This window comes from Homo sapiens, chromosome 17 (assembly GCF_000001405.40).
Source record: "Homo sapiens chromosome 17, GRCh38.p14 Primary Assembly".
NCBI classification, from domain to species: Eukaryota; Metazoa; Chordata; class Mammalia; order Primates; family Hominidae; genus Homo; species Homo sapiens.
Window position 1 is genome coordinate 39777189 of NC_000017.11, and position 22432 is coordinate 39799620.

A 22432-nucleotide genomic window follows, 5' to 3' on the forward strand; every position below is an offset into this window, starting at 1 on the left:
ACTTTCCCTTAAAGCCAATTCTCAAATTCAAGAAAATATGGCAATATGTTTTAGAGCATGAAAAAAGTTTGAGCATGCTAACGAACCAACTTGTAAAATATAATTACAAAAGATTACAAAAATGCTATCTTGAACATCTTACTGGTATAAATTGCATAAACTCTCTCATGCAACATATGTCATTCAGAGTAAAGAGGAAGGAACAGGATTTTAAACATCACATCCATTTAGGAAATTGGATATCAACTACTCCCATCTCCTGTCATGATGATGCTTTAGTTAATATCTTTTATTCTATTTTCCAGAGCTATCAGAATGAACCATGAAGAATAAAAGTACACAATGAAAAACTAATTATTTTAACAGAGGTTAAGCTAGGAAAGGCCTTGTGTAGCAAGCATCCTATGTTATTTCATTCAAACTATCTGCTAACAACAGCAGGAAAAAGGTTTGTATTCTTACCAATGAATTTCTGAGGCATTGAGCTTTTTCGTTTTGCCACATTGCTTGCTAATCTGTCCAGTACGAGAGCTCTTTCACTTCCCATCTCTGCTTTGATGTGTCTTGCCTCCGCACTTGCTAGTTTGGAAAAATGTAAAAAGAAGAGAGAAAAGAACACATTGGTACATGGGGAGAAAAGGAAATAAACTGGAAGGAGAAGTGTCCGAAGTTGGATGCACACTCTATTGTTGTTACCTGTTATAACTGCTCAGATTCTTGCCTGGGGTACCTGCTGTGGTCAGTGAAGCCGACACCAGGGCACATTCAAATCTTGCAGTCTTATGCCGAGATGGGAAAGCTCGACCCATCCCCAACCAGTACCTTCATTAGCAAGAGGAAGTATTAAATAAACAGCCTGGACGTGGTTGGTTGCAAAAAGATAGATAGATGGAGATCTAACCCCCGATCAGCCTTCTTTCTGATTCTGAGTAACTGCGTGTGACACCTGCAGACTGATATAATTCTTAACAACTTTGAAAAAAAAGCATGGTGCCCCAGATTTACTGCTCTGTTTATGTTAACAGCACTTTTGAAAATAGGTACACTCACACAGATAGCAAGACATCTACTCAGTGATTTGTGTATTGAAATTCTGAGTGGTTTCTTTCTTTTTCTTTTTCTTTTTTTTTTTCAGCACGCTCCTCTCAGTTCCTATCTTTCATATTCTGTTTCTCTGTGCTCTGTATTATCTGTTTCATATGCTCTTCACATTTCAAAATAGTCTCAATTAAAATTTCCCTAAGCAACACTTCTGCCTTGAAATTAAAGAACAATTTGTATAATGCATCTGTATTGAATTTCTAATAAAAATGTGAATAAAAACTGCCTATGGGCTGGGTGCGGTGGCTCATGCCTGTAATCCCAGCACTTTGGGAGGTGGAGGTGGGCAGATCACCTGAGGTCGGAGTTCGAGACCAGCCTGACCAACTTGGAGAAACCCTGTCTCTACTAAAAATACAAAATTAGCCTGGTGTGATGGTGCATGCCTGTAATCCCAGCTACTCGGGAGGCTGAGGCAGGAGAATCACTTGAACCTGGGAGGCAGAGGTTGCAGTGAGCCGAGATGGCGCCATTGCACTCCTGCCTGGGCAACAAGGGCAAAATTCCGTCTCAAAAAACAAAGAAACAAACAAAACACAAAAAAACCTGCCTATGAATGTGGGCCCATCCACAAATAGACCTGTGAGTGGTGTAGGCCTGTGGTTCTCAGACCTGGCTGCACATTAGACTCACCTGAATAGCAGGTAAGAAATACCTATGCCCAGGCCCCCCTTCAGATCAATTAAATCAGGATTTCTGGTATAGGGGCCTAGGCAAGAATATTTTCAAAGCTCCCCAGATGATTTTAAAATGCAGCCAGAATTGAGAACTACTAGAAGAGTATATAAATAGTGGCAATATCTAATCAACTAAAATAGTAAACTGTAATGAATATAATTTACCTCAATTCAGCAGGCAGTGCCCAAATTTATGTCTAAAGTTCAAAGAAGGCCAGGCACGGTGGCTCACGTCTATAATCCCAGCACTTTGCAAGGCCGAGGCGGGCAGATCACCTGAGGTCGGGAGTTCAAGACCAGCCTGACCAACATGGAGAAACCCCATCTCTACTAAAAATATAAATAATTAGCTGGGTGTGGTGGCGAATGCCTGTAATCTTAGCTCTCGGGAGGCTGAGGCCGGAGAATCGCTTGAACCCAGGAGGCAGAGGTTGTGGTGAGCCGAGATTGAGCCATTGCACTCCAGCCTGGGCAATAAGAGCAAAACTCCATCTCCAAAAAATAAATAAATTAATTAAATAAATTTCAAAGAGATACCAGCTTCTCTAAATACAAGGCTTGACATTTTAACACATGATGCTAGCCTGAACCAGGGATCAGCAAACTTTTGTCTGTAAAGGGCCAGACAGTAAATTTTAAAAATTTGCCAGACACATATAGTCTCTATGTTATATTCTTTGTTTTTTGTTTTTTTTTTTTCTGTTCCACGGCCTTTTAAAAACGTAAAAATCCCTGTACACAAACAGGCCACTGGCTGCACTTGCCTAGAGCGCCACAGTTTGCCCTCACCTGCCCTGGGCAAACATATTGTGATGCTGTAAACATTTTTCTCTGTTTTCTCATAAACACTTCGGGAGATCCAAACTAAAATGAACTATCCATACATTTCTATTATGTCTAAGGAAGAATAAATTGAAATTAGTTTAAGGGATTAGAGTAAAAAGCAAGTAGTGGCTGGCACAGTGGCTCACCCCTGTAATCCCAGTGCTTTGGGAGACTGAGGCAGGAAGATTGCTTGAGGCCAGGAGTTGAGACCAACCTGGGCAATATAGCAAGATCCTGTTCCTACAAAAAGTAATTTTAAAAAATTAGCTGGGCATGTTGGCATGCGCCTGTAGTCCTAGCTACTTGGGAGACTGAGGTGGGAGGGTTCCTTGAGCCCAGGGGTTTGAGGTTACGGTGAACTATTAAGGTAACTGCAAAGACCACAATTACTTTTGCACCAACCTATTAGTGCCAGTGCACTCCAGCCTGCGTGACAGAGTGAGACTCTGTCTAAAAAAAAAAAAAAAAGCCCCAAAGTATTAAATATTTCTAATTTTATTAGTGGCCTTAAAAAACTGTATGTTAGTCATTACACAATACATTATAAAGCTCAGTTTTCATTATTTAGTTAATTTATTTACTTATTTTTGAAACAGGGTCTCAACTCTGTTACCCAGGGTGGAGTGCAGTGGCATGATCACAGCTCACTGCAGGCTCAACCTCCTGGGCTCAAGTAATCCTTCTACCTCAGGTTCCAAAGTTGCTGGGACTACAGTCTAAAGCCACCATGCCTGGCTAATTAAAAAAAAAAATTATTAGTCTCAATATATTGCTCAGTCTGGTCTCCAACTCTTGGCCTCAGGCAGTCCTCCCACTTCAGCCTCCCAAAGTGTTGGGATTACAGGCATGAGCCACTGCACTCAGCCAAAGCTCAGCTTTTTTTTTTTTCCTGGAATAACATAAAATCTGGCTCTGCCAGGTGTGGTGGCACTAGCCCATAGTCCCAGCTACTCAGGAGGCTGAGGTGAGAGGATGGCTTGAGCCTAGGAGTTCAAGTTCAGCTTGGGCAACACAGTGAGATCCCATCTCTTAAAAAGAAAAAGAAATCCAGCTCCAAAAATGAAAAAGAAGAGGATGATAATAATGTGATAATAATGACAATATTTACTAGACAGTGAGTTTCTTGTCAAAAATAATTCTAGGCTCTAAAGGAATAAATCATAGCCTTCAGTGAAGCTATTAACAACTATTTGTGTAAATGAAAACAGTAAGGGTCAGAATAGGGGGCCTGAGTGGCTTTTGGGCTAGTGCAAAAGTACTCGACTGACTCTGGCTGACCAGCAGTTGTAAATAACGGGCACTTCAGCCACAAGACACTGCTATTGAGTGAAGAGGGTCAAATTCTGTCCAGCACAGGGATAGGTTTAAATGACCAAACAGGAAATTATTTATATATATTATTTCCTTTCACACAAAACCACCACCAGATGTGGCACTACCCAAAGCCCCAAGAGCAGAGAGATGAAAGACAAAGCTTGGAATTTGCAGTAAGTTCCTGGGGCTGTTAGGAGACTTTTTTCTTAGAATCAGGGGAGAGGTAGCTAAGTTTGCACTTTGACTAGGAACATTCATCCTGGTTCCAGCAATTTTGAGAAGATTAAATCCAAGTAAGCCTCCCCTCAACCCTGTAGTTATCAACAAAAAGATTTATAGGGAAAAAAAGAATGAAAAACAGTATTCTGGGAATGTTTACCTTTTATGCCCATTTTACCATTGTTCTTATTAGTCTATTGTGGTCCCTCCTCTCACTGCCAAATCATTACCCAGGAATTACCCCAAGCACGGTGCTACCCATCTAGTTTTCCCATTTGTTTCTCAGCAGTCGCTGTCTACATTTTACTGAAGTCAATGTCAATTAAAACAAGCAGCTTTCTGAGGACACGTAATCAACATCCTCTACATTTGGGAGGATGCTGAAGTGTGGACACATTGACCTAAATAACTGTAATTAGGGCAGGTCACTAAATGGCAAACTTTTGAGATAACATCACCTTTTATTCCTCGTTACCCACCAAACTGGTCTTTAGAGTCATTTCCAGATAAACATTATTCTGTAAATCAGTGACCAAATGCCTGACATTTAAAAACATAAAATTCTGCAGTGTTCATGGATGGACATATTTTGAGGCATGGGTGGAGACTTTCCCATTTCCACAACTCCGATTAGATTGAAAGAAATCCTCTGAAACGAATCTAGAGGACTCCTGTTCACCCACACCCTCTTTCTGGGTCATTCACTCAAAATATTAACTACAAGAGCTCCACTCTCATTGTACATGTGAACACACTCCTACTGATTCAGTTGATCTTCACTGAATTAACCTTGTTTTCTAGTTGATAAGTTAGGCAAAGGCTAGTTTTCAATTGAAGATGGCACTCATTTTCTTTCCTAAACTGCTAGTCTTTTGCCTCACACTTGTTGGATAGCTGATGCACAATACCATGAAATGAGTGCCCTTTGAAACACAAAGAGCCAGGTTCCATGGTTTGCGCCTGTAATCCAGCACTTTGGGAGGCTGAGGTGGGAGGATTGCTTGAGCCCAGGGAGCTATGATCTTGCCACTGTACTCCAGTGTGAGGAACACAGTGAGCCCTGTCTCTAAACAACAACAACAACAACAACACACACACACACACACATATCACACATACACAAAGAAATGCTTTGTAACTGGACAAGCTCTTTGGGATTACTGAGTGGTTTAGGCAGTGCACTGAAAAGAAAAAAAAGAGGACTATTGGCTTTTGGTCCTTTTCTCCAACTTTAGGACCCAACTGTCTATTTATACGAACAGTCTAGACTTGTTATCTTGCCACTTCATATCTCAGAAATGTAAGTGGAGGGAAACCAGTTTGGCAAGATAGTAAGGGAACAAGATAATGGGTTTAAATGACGAAATAGGAAATCCGTTCCTGGGTGGTGTTTGGCGGTGTAATGCTGCAAGTGGTGGGTGTGGGGAATATGGGATGGTGGCAAGGAACAATTTGCACATTCAGCTCATGAGTGAGAACAGAATGAGTAGAACTGTCATTGTGGATCAATTTCCCTTCACATTGCTTGCCTACTAAATAGTAGACATACTAATTTTCATTAGAAAAGTTATTTTAAAGACGTGCTGAAAAAATAATAAAATGTAGTACAAAGTCACATTTACAGATTAGGTTACTACTACCTTTATTCCCTGTATAAGTCTTAATATTTGGTTTTAGTTAACTATTTCCATGATACAATTTCTACCTCAAAGTCATTGGAGGTTTAACTATGTAATTGTGTTGTGCTTTTGTTTTTGTTCAAAATCCTTCATTAGATCTTGAAGTGTTAAGTGGAGCTTAAATAAGAGGTATTGCTTCCTGTCTCTTCTATGGTGTAGTCAGTCAGTAACTAATGGAGAGTGGAACAAAGTGGTGTTATTATGCAATAGAAATTGTCTAACAAGAGATTGGTATCAAAGACAGAGGCAGGTTCTAACAAAAAAGTTTCATAAAACTGTTGCCTTTTTGAACAAGTAAAATGAATACTACCTGTGAGATAGCATTTTTTATTTTTTGAGATGGAGTCTCGCTCTGTTGCCTAGGCTGGAGTGCAGTGGCATGATCTTGGCTCACCACAACCTCTGCCTCCCGGGTTCAAGCAATTCTCCTGCCTCAGCCTCCTGAGTAGCTGGGACTATCAGTGCATGCTATCGTGCCTGGCTAATTTTTGTATTTTTAGTAGAGATGGGGTTTCACTATGTTGGCCAGGCTGTTCTGGAACTCCTGACCTCGCGATCCGCCCACCTCAGCATCCTAAAGTGCTGGGATTACAGGCGTGAGCCACCGCGCCCGGCCAGTATTGATTTTTAAAAAGAATAGGTTGGGGCCAAGTGTGGTGGCTTACGCCCATAATCACAATAATTTGGGAGGCCAAGGTGGGCAGATTACCTGAGATCAGGAGTTTGAGATGCCTGGCCAACATGGTGAAACCCCGTCTCTACTAAAAACACAAAAATTAGCTGGGCATGGTGGCAGGCACCTGTAATCCCAGCTACTCAGTAGGCTGAGGCAGGAGAATTGCTTGAACCCAGAAGGCGGAGGTTGCGGTGAGCTGAGATCGTGCCACTGCACTCCAGCCTGGGTGACAGAGTGAGACTCTGTCTCAAAACAAAAAACAAAAAACAAAACAAAAAAAAATAGGTTGGGAAAACAAACTTAAAAATTTTTAAACATTTTCTTTGGTCTGCTAAGTTGGTAAAAATGTAAGTTTATTCTGAAGCCCTCATGCTTGTATTAGCTTGAAGAACTATTGAAGATGAAAAGTTTGGAGTCTTAGATTCATAAATAGATGTGATTATTCAATTATTTAAAAATATTATTATTGCTAGAACTCATTGTTACATAAAATATTTCCTGCTCCAAGTATTCATAATCTGTGTGAATGAGGCTAAATGAATCTCTATACCGGCTGTTAGTCTCTTTCTGAAATAAGAATCAAGCTAATGGGAAAATGCAGTCCATGTTCTTCTGTATTTTTCCTTCTTTTCATATATACTCCATTAAGACAGAATTGGAATATTCTGATGGTGTCACTTGTGATGCCTGATGTAGAAACTTGGACTAAAGTAGCAATATCACTAGTGTCTTTTTTTTTTTTTGAGATGGAGTCTTGCTCTGTTGCCAGGCTAGAGTACAGCGGCATGATCTCAGCTCACTGCAACCTCCACCTCCTGGATTCAAGCAATTCTCCTGCCTCAGCCTCCTGAGTAGCTGGGACTACAGGTGAGCACCACCACACCTAGCTAATTTTTGTATTTTTAGTAGAGACGGGGTTTCAACATGTTGGCCAAGATGGTCTCCATCTCTTGACCTTGTGATCCGCCCGCCTCGGCCTCCCAAAGTGTCAGGATTACAGGCGCGACCCACCGCGCCCGGCCAGGATTGTAAATCCTTAAAGTGTAGGGGCTTAACCTTAACTCATCTTTACAAACAGCTTTGATACAGAGCCTGGCACATAGAGAACTCAACAAATGCTATCTGGATAAAAGAAATGATTAGCAAGGCCAGAAGTCCTGTTGCCCAATACCTGCATTTTTTTGCAGGCTGGTCTTCACTCCAAGGCCTTTTTATCCATCTGCTTGCTTCTAGAAAGTCCTGCTTCCCCTTGCAGGCAGGTTTGTCCACAGGCTTGGCTCTCACACTACGCTGCACTTCAACTTACAATAAGCACTTGAAGAATGAGTGCTGCAGGCACAACAGCAATGGAGCATCATCTCTTTACAAGTGACGGATGAGGCATAAGATGTACTATACTGCTCAGGCTCAGAATAGAACCCCATGTCCACAATGGACTCCCAATTCTAAGAAGGAAACAGAAATGGAAACCACACATGGAAGGGTGCAAAATAGTTAAAGGATTGGCTTATGTTGGGTTAAATATTCTGTAAATTTTGGCCTCAGGAAAAATTATAGGAACTATTTGAAATATAAAAGAGTAATGTGTGAACTGAGATGCAGTAACTTGATTAAGCTGTGAATTTACACATTTATAACCTGAAACCACCATTACAACATATTTGTTTGAAAAAAAAATCAAAACTTGCTGACTTAGTTAACCCTTTATCTTTTTTTGCTGAGACTTAAAGTATGGTGCACGCATCCACCAAACCACCCTATGAAATGCAAATTAACTCAACCTCTGTATTTCAGCATTTCCTGAATCACCTAATATCACTGAGAATAGCTAAAATATTACTTTTGATACTTTTCCTTATTTGAAATTCCTAAAAAAGGTTGTGAGAATGGGAAGTAAGGTGGTGACCTTACTTCAAAATCAATAATTTTGAACTTACTGTTTATAGAGTGTAGTTTTCTGATTTTTCCCCCTCCTTCCAGGAGAATCAGGACACACATATATGTATATACATGTGTGTCTATTAGTATGTGTGTTACTATATTTCTTTTGCAAACCAGATAATATATAACCTTTAAGAAATATAGCTAATCAAGCCAAAAAGTGGAAAAGGTGTAAAAGACTCAAATGTCCATTAGCTGATGAATGGATAAATGGAAAGTGCCATATCCAAACAATGGAATATTATTCAGCCACAAAAAGGAATGAAGTCCTGATAAATGCTTCAGCATACATAAATGCCTCAGAAACATTATGCTAAGTAAAAGGAGCCGACACAAAAGGCCACATATTGTATGATTCCATTTATGTGAAATGTCCAGAACAGGCAAATCCATAGAGACAGAAAGTAGATTGGTGGCTGCCAGGAGCTAGAGGAAGGGGGAATAGGGAGTGACTGCTAATGAGCACAGCACTGCTTTTGCGGATGGTGATAATGTTCTGAAATAAGATAGTGGTGATGGTTGTACAACTTTGTGAATATACTAAAATTATTGAAATGTGCACTTTAAAAAGGTAAATTTTATAGCATGTGAGTTATATCTCAAGTTTTTGAAAATTAAAAAATATGACTAATCACAAAAACAACTAAAGTTCTGGTGAATTTTAAGTAGGTCACTGAATTTTGGGCGAGTCTCAGTCTTGTCACCTCTAAAATGAAGAAGTAGGGTCAGATGCTCTCTTTCATTCTAGCTTTAAATATTAGTGATTCTACTTGGAATATGATAGATTTCATAGCTTGGGAATCTCTTACAGTGAGAGCTTTGCCTATTGTCTGAAATACAGAACTGCAAGTAGAGATGCCTACATTCCGTCCTTGAGCGAGTACTGCCTGACTGCCATGAAGCATGCCACTTAAGATGTCAAAATCTTTCCTAGCAAGCAGACTCAGATAAAAGCAAAACAAAGAGAAGATGTCAAAACCCAAATATTAGGTTTTTCTTTTTATTTTATTATTATTGTTTTAGAGATGGTGTCTTGCTTTGTTGCCCAGGTTGGGCTTGAGCTCCTGGGCTCAAGCAATCCTCTTGCCTCAGCCTCCTCAGCAGCTAGGACTACAGGTGTGTACCACTGTGTATGACCTGTTTGTTTTTTATAAGGGGGTAAACATTTCTTTTTATTTGGATAAGCTTTATCCAAATAAGTTGGATTTCCTTTATCAAATTAGAAATCCAACTCCTTGATAAAACCAAAGATGCCATTAGGATAAAAAGCAGAAGCACTGCAAGCCATCAGAATTCAGTTGGCCAGCTCCTAACATCATGCAATAGGTTTTATCTAAAATAAAAGTTTCCTCTCACTCAAAATGAGGGCAGTTTAGGTAGTCATTTCTACTCCATTTTTCCTGAGTTTCACATTATTTCTGTCATCTTTTTGTAACTTTTCTGTTTTAGCCTATTCAAACTACTCAACTGCAACAATTGCTGTCAAACACTAAATCCCATGAGGGTTTGTACCTATTCTAAATAAGCAATTGGTTCAAGTTACCAAATAAAAATGTCAGACAACCCAAGCTGCAGAACCAGGCTGACAGCCAACTCAATGGGACAAAGGACAGCTGAAGAGATGTGACACAAAAAAGTTTCAGGCTGTTCCAACAAAGAATTAAAAGGAAATAAAACCACAATTGAGATATAGAAGAACATCTAGTGTTTCAACCAATTGCCAGTAGGCATCTAATTCAAATCACTGAATAAAACAAGGAATCCCCAAAGCCAAATAGAAGCATCACAATAAATCATATGAGTAGACAAGGATATAAATTGGGCCCTGTGCAAAGAAAATCCTTGTAGTTTTAATTGCCTCTTCCCTAGCCACTCCCCAACCTCCTCTACCCTCAATTTTTGCCATTTTTTGTAAACGACAACTCCACTCTTCATCAATCTGTTAGGAAATCTTGTTGACTCTACCTTTAAATATACAGAGAATTAGAATACTTCTCACCACCTCTACCACTAACAAGACATAATTTTCTCTTGCTTGAATTATTGCAATGGCCTCCTAACTGGACCCCCAATTTCCAACCTTGCCCCAAATACAATCTCTTCTCAAAAGCAAGTAGAGTGATTCTTTCAAATGAGAAGACCAATGATGTCACCTCTTTGTACAAAACCCTCTAAAGATTTTTAATTTCACTCAGAGTAAAAGCCAAAGCCTTTACAATGGCCTGCAAGGCCTGAGAAGATCTGGTTTCCCATTTCCTCTCTGGCTTCAGGTCCCATTACTCACTGTGTTCCAGACACACAGAACTACGTACACTTCTTCAAATTTGTGCCCCAGGGCCTTTGCTCTTGCTGTTCCCTAGTTATCTGCAGGGCTTACTCACCCTGTTAAGAAGTCTGTTAAAATGTTACCTCGTTGAAGCCTTCCCTGATTCTCACCCTCACTCCTCAGCAACTGCTTCATTTTTCTCAATAGCACTTACCACCCGCTAACCTTCCAACTTACAGTTTGCTCATTTACTTTCTTTATAATCTGTCTGCCCCCAGTAAAATATAAACTCCACGAGTCTTTTTACTTACTATTGTATCTCACCACCTAGGACAGCAGATGCTCACTAAACGTGTGTTGCGTGAACTCACCAGTGTCCCCTGGGTCAGTGCTCTGAAGAAATGTACGGCAGCGCTCCTTGTGCTCCTCAAGGGAACTTCTCTGCTTGTAACTCCTTCCACAAAACTCACATTTGTAGGGTTTCTCCACTAGAAGGAGAACATAAGGGGCACTCAGTGACCCTCAGGGGTTCCACACAGGTCAGGTATTGGGGCTCTGTGACAACTGTTCACTAGAAATGAGACTGCTGAGTGAAGCCAGAGTATTTGGATACTTTTGAATCTATATTTTAAATTTGGTAAGCTTAAATAAGGTTATGGTCTATGATTAATTATTACGTCAGAGTATTCTTCAAAAGGATCGCCTCCTATCACAAATGGAAGAATTTGGATTTAGTGATTACCATTTCGCATACTGTTTTGGCTCCAGGTCAAATTTTGTTTTCTTTGGGAAAAAGAAAATAGGGCCCTTTTATTCTTCAAGGAGGTTAATGTGGTATAAGCAATGAAATAGGAAAGGATTCTTTATTTTGGACATCCATCTGGCTGTAAGTAAAGATTGCTGTAGTTTGTGGGAGTTAGCCATTCGGCTAGAAACTGATGGCCTTTTCAGAACATTGACATATTTGGGTAAATTTAGCTCATCCTTGCCACGTGGCTATAGCAAAGTCTAGGCTAAAACAATAAAAACTGAGCTAATTAACTACGGATTTTTTTGTTTTTTTGTTTTTGAGACAGGGTCTCACTCTATCACCCAGGCTTGGGTGCAGTGGTGAAATCACAGCTCGCTACAGCCCCAATTTCATAGGCTCAGGTGAAGTCTGGGCCTCCCAAAGGCCACCTTGGCCTCCCAAAGTGAGAGGCTTACAGGTGTGAGCCATTGCACCCGGCCAGGATATTTTTGAATAATAGAAATAAAAATAGGCCGGGCGCAGTGGCTGACACCTGTAATCCCAGCACTTTGGGAGGCCGAAGTGGGAGGATCACCTGAGGTCAGGAGTTCGAGACCAGCCTGCCTAACATGGCAAAACCCCATCTCTACTAAAAATACAAAAATTAGCCAGGCACAGTGGCTCACGCCTGTAATCTCAGCACTTTCGGAGGCCGAGGCAGGCGGATCACGAGGTGAGGAGTTCGAGACCAGCCTGGCCAATGTGGTGAAACCCCATCTCTACTAAAAATACAAAAATTAGCCAGGCGTGATGGCGTGACCCTTTAGTCCCAGCTACTCAGGAGGCTGAGGCAGAAGAATCGCTTGAACCTGGGAGGTGGAGGTTGCAGTGGGCTGAGATTGCACCACTGCATCCCAGCCTGGGCGGCAGAGTGAGACTCCATCTCAAACAAACAAACAAAATTAGCCGGGCGTCGTGGTAGGCATCTATAATCCCAGCTACTAGGGAGGCTGAGGCAGGAGAATCGCTTGAACCTGGGAGGTAGAGGTTGCAGTGAGCTGAGATGGCGCCGCTGTACTCCAGCCTGGGTGACAGAGTGAGACACCATCTCAAACAAACAAACAAACAAACAAAATTAGCTGGGCGTTGTGGTAGGCATCTATAATCCCAGCTACTAGGGAGGCTGAGGCAGGAGAATCGCTTGAACCTGGGAGGCGGAGGTTGCAGTGAGCCAAGATCACGCCACTGCAACAGCCTAGGCAACAGAGCAAGACTCCGTCTCAAAAAAAAAAAAAAAAAGAGAGAAATAAAAATGAATTGTAAAAATGACTTCGTCTAAATGTCTAAGATGAAGGAAAGGTTTCACCCATACAATTCATGCAAACTTTATTCTGCCAACTCCCCAAATGCTTTATTGCTTGAAATATGTAAGTAATAACTTCAACTATCTGTGCAAGGCTGGTCTTTCTGATTGTTGATAGAATATACTCAATGAATTTGTCAGTTTTAGGGGCTAAAATTTTTATTTTCTAACTCTTGCTCTGTTTAAAACAGAGGCTTTGGGATTTAAAGCACTAAAAGATCCTTATGGAATCCTAAATTAAAACAAATGCAGGTTTGCTAGGGCTAAAAATGTTACGTTTCTGCATAAATTGGGTTCTCTGGAATCTGTCTTTAAAAAGCCTACTATTGTTTCTTACTTGAAAAAGGCAACAGTAGAGAACTATTCTAATTTTTTTCGAACCAAACTCATCCTTAATTCACTACTTTGAAAAATGAGCTGTAAAAGAGAGAAACCCTTCAATTGCCAATTATGATCTCTCATGGTGGGTTTTGTTGGGGCTGACTTGTTTAATCCTAGTGGCTGAATTATAACAAGTTTTGAGTTTGGGGCTAGGTTTTAATCAAAGCAGTAGATGTGAACTGACATAAAAACAAGCCTTTTTTTCCAATTAAAATTTTGCCAGATAACATCAAGAACATGAGGTCCCAAATTTGAAAATAAACTCAGTCTTATTTTTCTAGGACGGAAATTCTAAATCTTGAAAAAAAAGTATTATCTTGGTCAAAATAAGGAGTAAAAACATCACGACAGCACATAACTTTTACAAATCTTTACCGTTGTTCAATCTTTTAGAGATTTAAAATAAGTAGGCTGGCTGGGCATGGTGGCTCCTGCCTGTAATCCCAGCACTTTGGGAGGTCAAAGTGGGAGGAATGCCTGAGCTCAGAAGTTTGAGACCAGCCTGAGCAACATAGTGAGACCTCATGTTTATTTAAAAAAAAAAAAAAAAGTGGGCCAATCAAGAGGAAAGTTGGATTTAATAAATTTATCCCAAATGGCCAAAAAGTAGCCCCCAAACAATGATTTATATCCAGATCACAGTTTTTCATAATTTACAAACTGTACATCATTTGCTTGTCTCGTCTTTTGAATGGAAAGAGTGTGTGTGTTGGGAAAATAATCTTCTAATAAAGTTTACCAGAAGAAAATACTGATGGCTATAATTTTCTCACAAAAATTAAAAGGACATTTTTTATAGGGTGGGCTCTTCCTATCTGACTGTGTTGTTCTCCATGGGTGCAAGGATGGTGAGGAGATGATCATCTCCACTGAGGCAGACGGAGAGCAATTAGTGCCTTAATGGTCGTGTAATTAGCCCTAGAGGTCTCTGCTGTTGTAACCCTTCAGAACAAGAATGACAGATTGAAACCTTCCTACTTAACTCTTTCTAGTTTCCACACTGGGCTCTGAGGAATGCACTTCCTAGACAAGGAATGCTCATTTCTCTCACTTACCAGAATGTGTCCTAAGATGCCCCGTGAGCGCATCTCTTCTTTGGCATGCATAGTTGCAGAGGTGACACTTAAAAGGTTTTTCCCCTGTGTGCAGTTTAATGTGGCGGAGGAGGTTACCTTTCTGAGTAAAAGATGCCCCACACTGATTACACTGGAATGGGCGTTCACCTTTAAAAAGGACAAAAAAGGAGATTTCTGGTCACAGGCAAGTGGAGAAACATATGCACAGATTAGATGCCTAGGGGAAAAGCTCATCTTTTAGACAATTACTGTTCACATTGGGATCAGTTGGGAGCTGCATTTCAAGGCAAGCCTAAGACTTACTTATGAAATCTCCTCTGTAGAAGAGAAAAAGCACCCACTAGCAAGGCTATTTTAGGTATCATATTGAATCAGAGCAAAGAAACAAGAGCAGCTCTAGAAGTGCTTTCTAGATCTAAGTTTTTATATTACTATATTACTTGGTACTCCCTTTTTTTTTTTTTTTTTTTTTTAGACAGGGTCTTCTTGCTCTGTTGCTCAGGCTGGAGTGCAATGGTCCCATCATGGCTCACTGAAACCTTGACCTCCTGGGTTCAAGTGAGCCTGTCACCTCAGCCTTCAGAATAGCTGGGACTACCAGTGTTTGCCATTATGCCTGGCTAATTTTTTAGTATTCCTTTTGAATATAATCTCCTTTGAAAAAAGAGCCAGAAACTAAAGTCCTTACAAGGTGTTGAGGGCTAGAAATTCTCCTTTTTAAAGTCTTCATATGAGATATGGGATGGAATCGACTGGCTCAAGTGCGATGGTTGTGTTTGTATGCATTTCTATAGACTACCTGTTTATTGTCTGAAGATACATTATTTTAAGCTGGAAATAAAAACTATGTCCTTTCATTTACCAAATTTGAACCCAATACAATAAGAAGATCTGCTCTTATTAAAAATGTTATGCAAAAATATACAAAAGATGGCTAAGAAGCAAATCACACAATTCAACTCCTACTTAGAAACTGAAGAAAAAGTATTTGGCTGACCTAGAACACTGTGCTCTCTACAGTCTTTTTTTATTCATAGCATTTGCAATATGTTTGCCAAATGCATGGTGAGGCAGGAATAAAAAGCACTGAGTGAACAGCAATGCAGAGAGAGAGATACATCAGCATTATAGCAAAAATCAATGAAAGTAACCAAAAGTTCCAAATTCCACCACTTCATTTCTCACGTGGCTGCATTAGGAGAGTTTTCAGAAGAATGAAAAAAGCAGACTATTTACCAGTATGGCTTCGCTTATGAACCATTAAGACATTGAAGCTGATGCAGGATAATCCACACACATCGCAGTTCATCTTTCCACTGGTTGGCCTGCTACTATCGAATGAGACAACATGTCTCTCCAACTTAATGTTTTCATATTCATTATATTCTCTTGAATAGCTGTAAGGGATTTCAGGCTCTTCTGCATTTCCCATGGGTTCTGACTTTAAAACATTCTCATCTCTTTCACTGTATTCATCTTTCACTTTCATTGAATCATCTGCAGGGAAGAAAATGCAAGAAATGAACAACGACTATACTTGAAGCTATCAAAGCAGCTCAAACAGCAGAGACCCACAACTGACAATTAAATACCAATCGAAGCTAACAAAACACTGTACATCTACAAAACAAGAAAGCACCATTAGCGTGACCGCACGTTATTTAAATTCAGAACCACAGTCAGAGGAAAACACACATACTTACACACATAAAAATAGACGATAGTGTTTTAGGCTATCCAGAAAATTACAGATAATAGATTTTAGCTAAGTTTGCTCAAAGTGGCCATGAAACAAACATTGAGCAACTCTTCTCCAGTACTAGGGGAGAGGAAGGGTTCTCAGATCTAGTACTGTTTTTGGTGGCTGCAGTTAAAAAGGCAAGGTGATGTACTCTTAGGTTTCAAGGAGAAAATATTGTTTGAATCCTTCAGATGCATCCAGTGTAAGCCATTAAGATTAAGAGTTGACTAGTTAACATAGTTTTTCTAATTTTAAGCCATGCATTGCCTCTTCCCCTTCCACGTATATGAATTGCTAAAACACATCTTATCTCTGTCTCTCTTGGAGCTGATAAAGGCACAACATTGACTGTAGAGGAAGTTGTCAGTACTAATGAAAAAGTGTTGAGAAAGACAAAAGGAAAAGTAATTCTTTCATATAACCTAAGGAGTCACTTTCATCGACACAGGTAAGTGGGGCTCAATCTAAATAAGGGGAAGGACCATTAGGTCCCAAGTTAGGGAGAACTAAACTCAAGGACTCAAGGATTGTGTAATAGGACTGGATAGGAGAGGAGGGACTGGCTCAAGTGAGTTGGCTGACCAAGTACTATCTTAAGAACTGCAATGTAAATGAATGAAATTTAAAAGAAGAGCTGTAATACTCTTCATGAAGAGCATAAGAACATATGAAGAACGTGGGAAAAATATGAAGAACATAAGAAACAAAGAAGGCAAATTTATGTACTTGCACTGACACTAGTAAAACCTAAAAATTTGCCTGATGTAAGAATAATAAACATTTGTAAGGGATTTTGCATATATAAAATATGCTATATAAATGCTTACTTTTTCAACCATTGGTCCTTAGAAATCAAAAGTTGTACCTCCCCATGAGGAATCACAAATCAATGGAGTGTAGGGCTGGAAGGGAATTTAAAGGTCATCTAATCCAACCCTCTTGTTTCTCAGATGAGGAAATCTGGGAGCAGAGATGTTTTTGGTCATTTGTCGAAGGTTACACATCCAGTTACTGGCAGAGGTGTGATTAGAATGCAAAACTTAAGCTTGAACTATCAATTACTTGGATTTGACCTCATGCACTAGACATATAAGGCCTAAGTGGGTTCTTACCAACTGTATTACACACCCTCCCATCAATGGTGTAAATGTTAAAACCCAAAACAGTCTGAAAAAAGATATTTTAAAAAACTACATCCCTTCCAAAAAACATCAGTAAGTGTTGCTCCTCTTGCTGCATAGGAGGAAGTACAACTGCAGCTGTGCCTGGCTTGCTACCTTCAACCCAAGTTTCAATTTTCACTTCTATCAAGGTTACCTTTCATCTATATTAACTGTGTTTGCTTAATAGAGCAAGACAGGGCCTAACCACCATCAGAGGAGCCAGGGCTGCCACACAGTTCCACTGCTTCCTACCACAGTTCATGGTTCACAACTTTTCACTCTTTGACTAGCAAAGATGTAGGGCTGTAGGATAAGTCCAACATGTTTCAAATTTGCCCACCCTATGGATCTGGATTATATAAGAAATGATATCTGTTTCCTACTTGGAAAGAGGTTTACTTCTTTCTCTGGATAGGTCTTCCCTGCTTTCAAGTGGAATTTGTTTGCTTAAGTGTTTATTTTTTATTTTTTTAAGAGAAGGATGCACCTGAGGCTTGTACTTGCCTCCCTTCCTCCATCACTCCAGCTGTGGGTAATATCCCACCAAAGCTTGAGTGCTCTTCAGTTTGCATGTAGGCGTTTAAAAGAACCTCAACGGAAAATTTCAGCTACTTAAAACCAAAAACAGCAGATAGAAAAGGCCAGCAGAAAAGGATCCTTTCCATTTTGGTTAGAAAATGTGAACATGACCAGACTCAGGCCACTCCATGGTCACTGAACTTTAAAATGTAGTAAGATCAATGTGTTGAGTCTTTCTGAAAACAGAGGACATAAGAGAGCTGCTCCTTTCCCTCAGGATTTTGGCTTTAGTTGGCCTGACCTGGAATTCAATACGACACCATCCTGGCTCAAGAGCAGATCTTAGCTTTAGTCCTTTAGGAGTCAGCTATAGAGCAAGGAAGACAGTATTTGAGACCCAGGGACATAAGGACACAGGGACAGGGCATTAGAGAAGTCCTTTGGGCTTACATAGTTGCTGGTTTGCCTTTGGAGTCTTACCAGTTTTAGATGAATGACCTGGATGACCTCTCTGCATGGTTACTGGGGATTAGCAACTTATTTTTATTTTATTCTATTTTATTTTTTGAGACATAGTCTTGCTCTGTTGCCCAGCCTGGAGTGTAGTGGCACGATCAGCTCACTGCCACCTCTGCTTCCCAGGTTCAAGTGATTCTCCTGCCTCAGCCTCCCGAGTAGCTGGGATTACAGGCATGCACCACAATGCCTGGCTGATTTTTGTGTTTTTAGTAAAGACGGGGTTTCGCCATGTTGGCCAGGCTGGTCTCGAACTCCTGACCTCAAGTGATCCACCCTCCTTGGCCTCCCAAAGTGCTGGGATTACAGGCCTGAGCCACCGTGTCCAACCAGATTCTAATTTATTCTAATATTCAACTCTGTTACCTTCTCAAGGTAAGCCATAATAAATTGCTGGCTGGGCATAGTGGCTCATGCCTGTAATCTCAGCACTTTGGGAGGCCAAGGCAGGTGGATCACTTGAGGTCAGGAGTTTGAGACCAGCCTGGTCAACATAGCAAAACCCCGTCTCCACTAAAAATATAGAAAATTAGCTGGGCATGGTGGCTCCCAGCTACTGGGGAGGCTGAGGCAGGATAATCGCTTCAACCTGGGAGGTGGAGGTTGCAGTGACCCGAGATCGTACCACTGCACTCCAGCCTGGGCGACAGAGCGAGACGCCATCTCAAAAAAGATAAAATAAAATAAAATAAATTAGAATTTAAGGTATGAATGAGATTCCTGAGAGATATTAGGCTTAGTACTCAGCCTCCAAACACAGTCCACCAAAACCAGGAAAGGCATTAGCCTGCTCTAATGAAGAGATTCATCCCATTCCCTGGAAGACTTATTGAAGCAGAGAAAAGGGGTGTTCTACTTAGAAAAATTCTATTAGAAAATACTAATGAACATGTCTAAAATCAAACTTGTCATCTTTGAACCCAAACTTGCTTCTAATTTATGACTTATTTATGTTGACAAATGGCATCACCCTTCTTCCAGTCTCCAAGCCATCAAACTGTGGAACCTTTTCTCTTTCAATTTCTACATCAAGTCAGTCTCCAAGATCTATCAACTCTATGTCTTCAGGCTCTCTAGGTGCCAACTCCTCTTTTCCTTTCCTTTTGCAATTTGGTTTCACCTTTCATCACATCATACCTAAATTCATCCTCTCTCAACATTCCTTTCTTTTTTTTTTTTTTTTGAGTCAGAGTCTCACTCTGTTGCCCAGGCTGGAGAGCAGTGGTGTGATCTCGGCTCACTGCAACCTCTGCCTCCCTGGTTCAAGCGATTCTCCTGCCTCAGCCTCCTGAGTAGCTGGGATTACAGGTGCCCACCACCACACCTGGCTATTTTTTTAATTTTTTTTTTTTAGTAGAGACGGGGTTTCACCATCTTGGCCAGGCTGGTCTTGAACTCCTGACCTCGTGATCCACCCACCTCGGCCTCCCAAACTGCTGGGATTACAGGAGTGAGCCACTGCGCTCGGCCTCAACATTCCTTTCTAGACAGATTTAAGACACAGGTGGTCCAGGAGCGGTGGCTCACACCTGTAATTCCAGCACTTTGGGAGGCCGAGGCGGGTGGATCATGAGGTCAGGAGATCGAGACCATCCTGACTAACATGGTGAAACCCCATCTCTACTAAAAATACAAAAAAATTAGCCAGGCGTGGTGGTGTGCGCCTATAGTCCCAGCTACTCAAGAGGCTGAGGCAGGAGAATCGCTTGAACCTGGGAAGTGGAGGTTGCAGTGAGCTGAGATCCCACCACTGCACTCCAGCTTGGGTGACAAAGTGAGACTCCGTCTCAAGAAAAAAAAAAAAAGACATAGGTAAGCTATGCTTACTGCCTCTACAGCCTCAAAAAGGACTCAGAATTCTCTGTAATATGGCTTCCGCCTCCACAATTCACTTAATCTGCTCCCTTGAATATCACCAACCATAATCTCCTGATTCCTAGATTCAGAGCCTTTTTGTATGCCACTCTCTCCAACTTCTTTGTAATCCTCAACACTACTGACCACTCACCATTCCTTGTTCTTCTGCACTCCTATGTCTTTTCTTTCTTTCTTTTTTTTTTTTTTTGAGACAGAGTCTCACTCTGTTGCCCAGGCTAGAGTACAGTGGTGCGATCTCGGCTCACTGCAACCTCTGCTTCCCAGGTCCAAGCGATTCTCCTGCCTCAGCCTCCCGAGTAGCTGGGACTATAGGCACGTGCCACCACACCTGGCTAATTTCTGTATTTTTAGTAGAGACAGGGTTTTACCATGTTGGCCAGGCTGGTCTCGAACTCCTGACTTCAGGTGATCCACCTGTCTTGGCCTCCCAAAGTGTTGGGATTACAGGCATGAGCCACCGTGCCCGGCCCCTGCACTCCTATTTCTTCAATGAAAATGTACCTTCTTTCCTTGCCTTTCTGATTGCTTCCTTCTTGCCCCTTTTCTTCCCTCTGCATCCTAAATACTGTCCTTAACCTTCTTTTTTCTTCCCTCTACACCCCTCTTGTATGGCAATTTCATTCATTCTTAAGGCTTCGACTAACATCTTATATGATTAATTTCCATATATATAACTCCAGGTGTAACCTCTCTCCCTTTCTTTAGTCCTCTATTTCTGAAGGCTTCCTAGGTATCTTCCCAGTTACTCAGGCTAGAATCCTTAGAGTCATCTTTCCTTTCTCCTGATTGGGCCCCACATTCAATCATTCAGTGGTTCTATCTGTGTATCCAATCTCTAATCTGTTTCTCCACTCCTGTATTTTGCATGCCCATTACCTAATTCTCAGACCCTATGACTTTCCCACGATCTACTTATTGCTGTAGCCCCCGCACTGTTCTCTTTGGCTCCCTTCTTTCTCCTTTCCAGCCCGTCTTGTTTGTTGCTACAAGATTGCTCTTCCTAAATTCTACCTCTGGTCATGTCATAGCCCTGTCAAAATTCTTCAATATTTTCCACTGCCAACAAAATAAAGTCCAAACTCAGAAACAAATAATTTAAAAGGCCTTTCGGGATCTGGCCCCAACCTATCTTTGGCATATTAATTTTGACTAGTTAGATCTTTAACTAAAGAGCTTCTAAGTAGTCTTATTTCTACTGCCTAAAAGATCTTTCCCCAATATGGCCACAGGTCCAAGTCCTACACATCCTACGTATTTTTTTTTTTTTTTTGAGACGGAGTCTTTCTCTGTCTCTCAGGCTGGAGTGCAGTGGTGCGATCTCTGCTCACTGCAACTTCTGCCTCCCGGGTTCATGCCATTCTCTTGGCTCAGCCTCCTGAGTAGCTGGGACTACAGGCGCCCACCACCATACCCAGCTAATTTTTTGTATTTTTAGTAGAGACAGGGTTTCACTGTGTTAGCCAGGATGGTCTCAATCTCCTGACCTCGTGATCCGCCGGCCTCGGCCTCCCAAAGTGCTGGGATTACAGGCATGAGCCACTGCGCCTGGCCACTGTCCTACACATTTTTAAAGGTCAAACTAATATGCTGTCTCCTGGCTACTATGCCTTCTCTGATCAACCCAGCTGGAAAATAGCCTGCTCCTTCTTCCTGGGTTACTTATGAACTCACCTCCCCTAGTCTCCCCAATAAATATGTAAACTAGCTGAGGGCAGAAGCTATACAGATTGTGTGTGTGTGTGCGTGTGTGTGTGTGTGTGTGTGTGTTTAACTCAGTATTCCCTATGACACTGCTTAACCTGTATCTGTAAGACCAGAGGTTATGTGGTTTTAAAATAGAAAATTTGGGGCTCCTACCATAGATCTACTAATCTGGGGGTGGAGACTGGAAATGTTCATTTAAAACCATGCTCTCCAGATAAACCTTATGCACAATGGAGTTTGAGAGCCACTGCCTCGAGTTAGATGCAGTGCCCTACATAAAGTAGACATCCCATAAATTCCTGGTGTATGAATATATCATTGCATTAGCCTCCTAACTGGCCCACGGTACATGTGACCTCTGTTATACTGCATCCTATTGCCAGAATAATCATGCTGTAGCAAAGAAACTCTTATTTAAAACTTTCAATGATTTCATTTGCTTATAGAATAAAGTCCAAACTCCTTAATGAGGTATTCAAGCACCTGTCCAGAACTTGCCCCAGGACTACTTAATCATCTCATTTCTCAGTCTTCTTGAATCACCTTTCTCTCTATACTAGAACTTTACTATGCAAAGTGAGGTCCTTGGATAAGCAGTTCTGCAACCGCCTGGGAGCTTGTTAGAAATACAGGTGCTCAGGCCTCAACCTAGACCTACTGGAC

The 22432-nt window shown here is 41.1% G+C and overlaps 1 protein-coding gene across 17 annotated transcripts in view, besides 4 other annotated features; it reads right to left on the minus strand.

The window, feature by feature from the left end:
- The window catches only part of IKZF3 (IKAROS family zinc finger 3), a 106598-nt gene that overhangs the window by 19474 nt on the left and 64692 nt on the right, over positions 1-22432 (minus strand). For 3 of the 17 annotated variants that reach the window (XM_047435625.1, NM_001257408.2, NM_012481.5), the window contains 4 exons: positions 15485-15745; positions 14228-14395; positions 11070-11186; positions 463-579 (listed from right to left, as the gene is read on the minus strand). The exons of 1 other annotated variant lie outside the window; for it this stretch is intronic. In XM_047435625.1, the coding sequence (XP_047291581.1) occupies positions 463-579; positions 11070-11186; positions 14228-14395; positions 15485-15745 (663 nt within the window). Of the gene's footprint in view, positions 1-462; positions 580-696; positions 1038-11069; positions 11187-14227; positions 14396-15484; positions 15746-22432 lie in introns of those variants that run through there. 13 more of the 17 variants (NM_001257409.2, NM_183229.3, NM_001284514.2 and 10 more) reach the window with 12 other exon arrangements.
- Positions 1193-1426: a silencer, noted in NCBI's record as "fragment chr17:37934634-37934867 (GRCh37/hg19 assembly coordinates)". NCBI's record gives its function as "represses an EF-1alpha promoter that drives an FKBP-Casp9 reporter gene in an ReSE screen in K562 erythroleukemia cells {active_cell/tissue: K562}" and the evidence as "EXISTENCE:reporter gene assay evidence [ECO:0000049][PMID:32094911]".
- Positions 7438-7668: a silencer, noted in NCBI's record as "fragment chr17:37940879-37941109 (GRCh37/hg19 assembly coordinates)". NCBI's record gives its function as "represses an EF-1alpha promoter that drives an FKBP-Casp9 reporter gene in an ReSE screen in K562 erythroleukemia cells {active_cell/tissue: K562}" and the evidence as "EXISTENCE:reporter gene assay evidence [ECO:0000049][PMID:32094911]".
- Positions 14456-14565: an enhancer, noted in NCBI's record as "active region_12109". NCBI's record gives its function as "activates an Ori minimal core promoter by ATAC-STARR-seq in GM12878 lymphoblastoid cells {active_cell/tissue: GM12878}" and the evidence as "EXISTENCE:reporter gene assay evidence [ECO:0000049][PMID:35858748]".
- Positions 15663-15792: an enhancer, noted in NCBI's record as "active region_12110". NCBI's record gives its function as "activates an Ori minimal core promoter by ATAC-STARR-seq in GM12878 lymphoblastoid cells {active_cell/tissue: GM12878}" and the evidence as "EXISTENCE:reporter gene assay evidence [ECO:0000049][PMID:35858748]".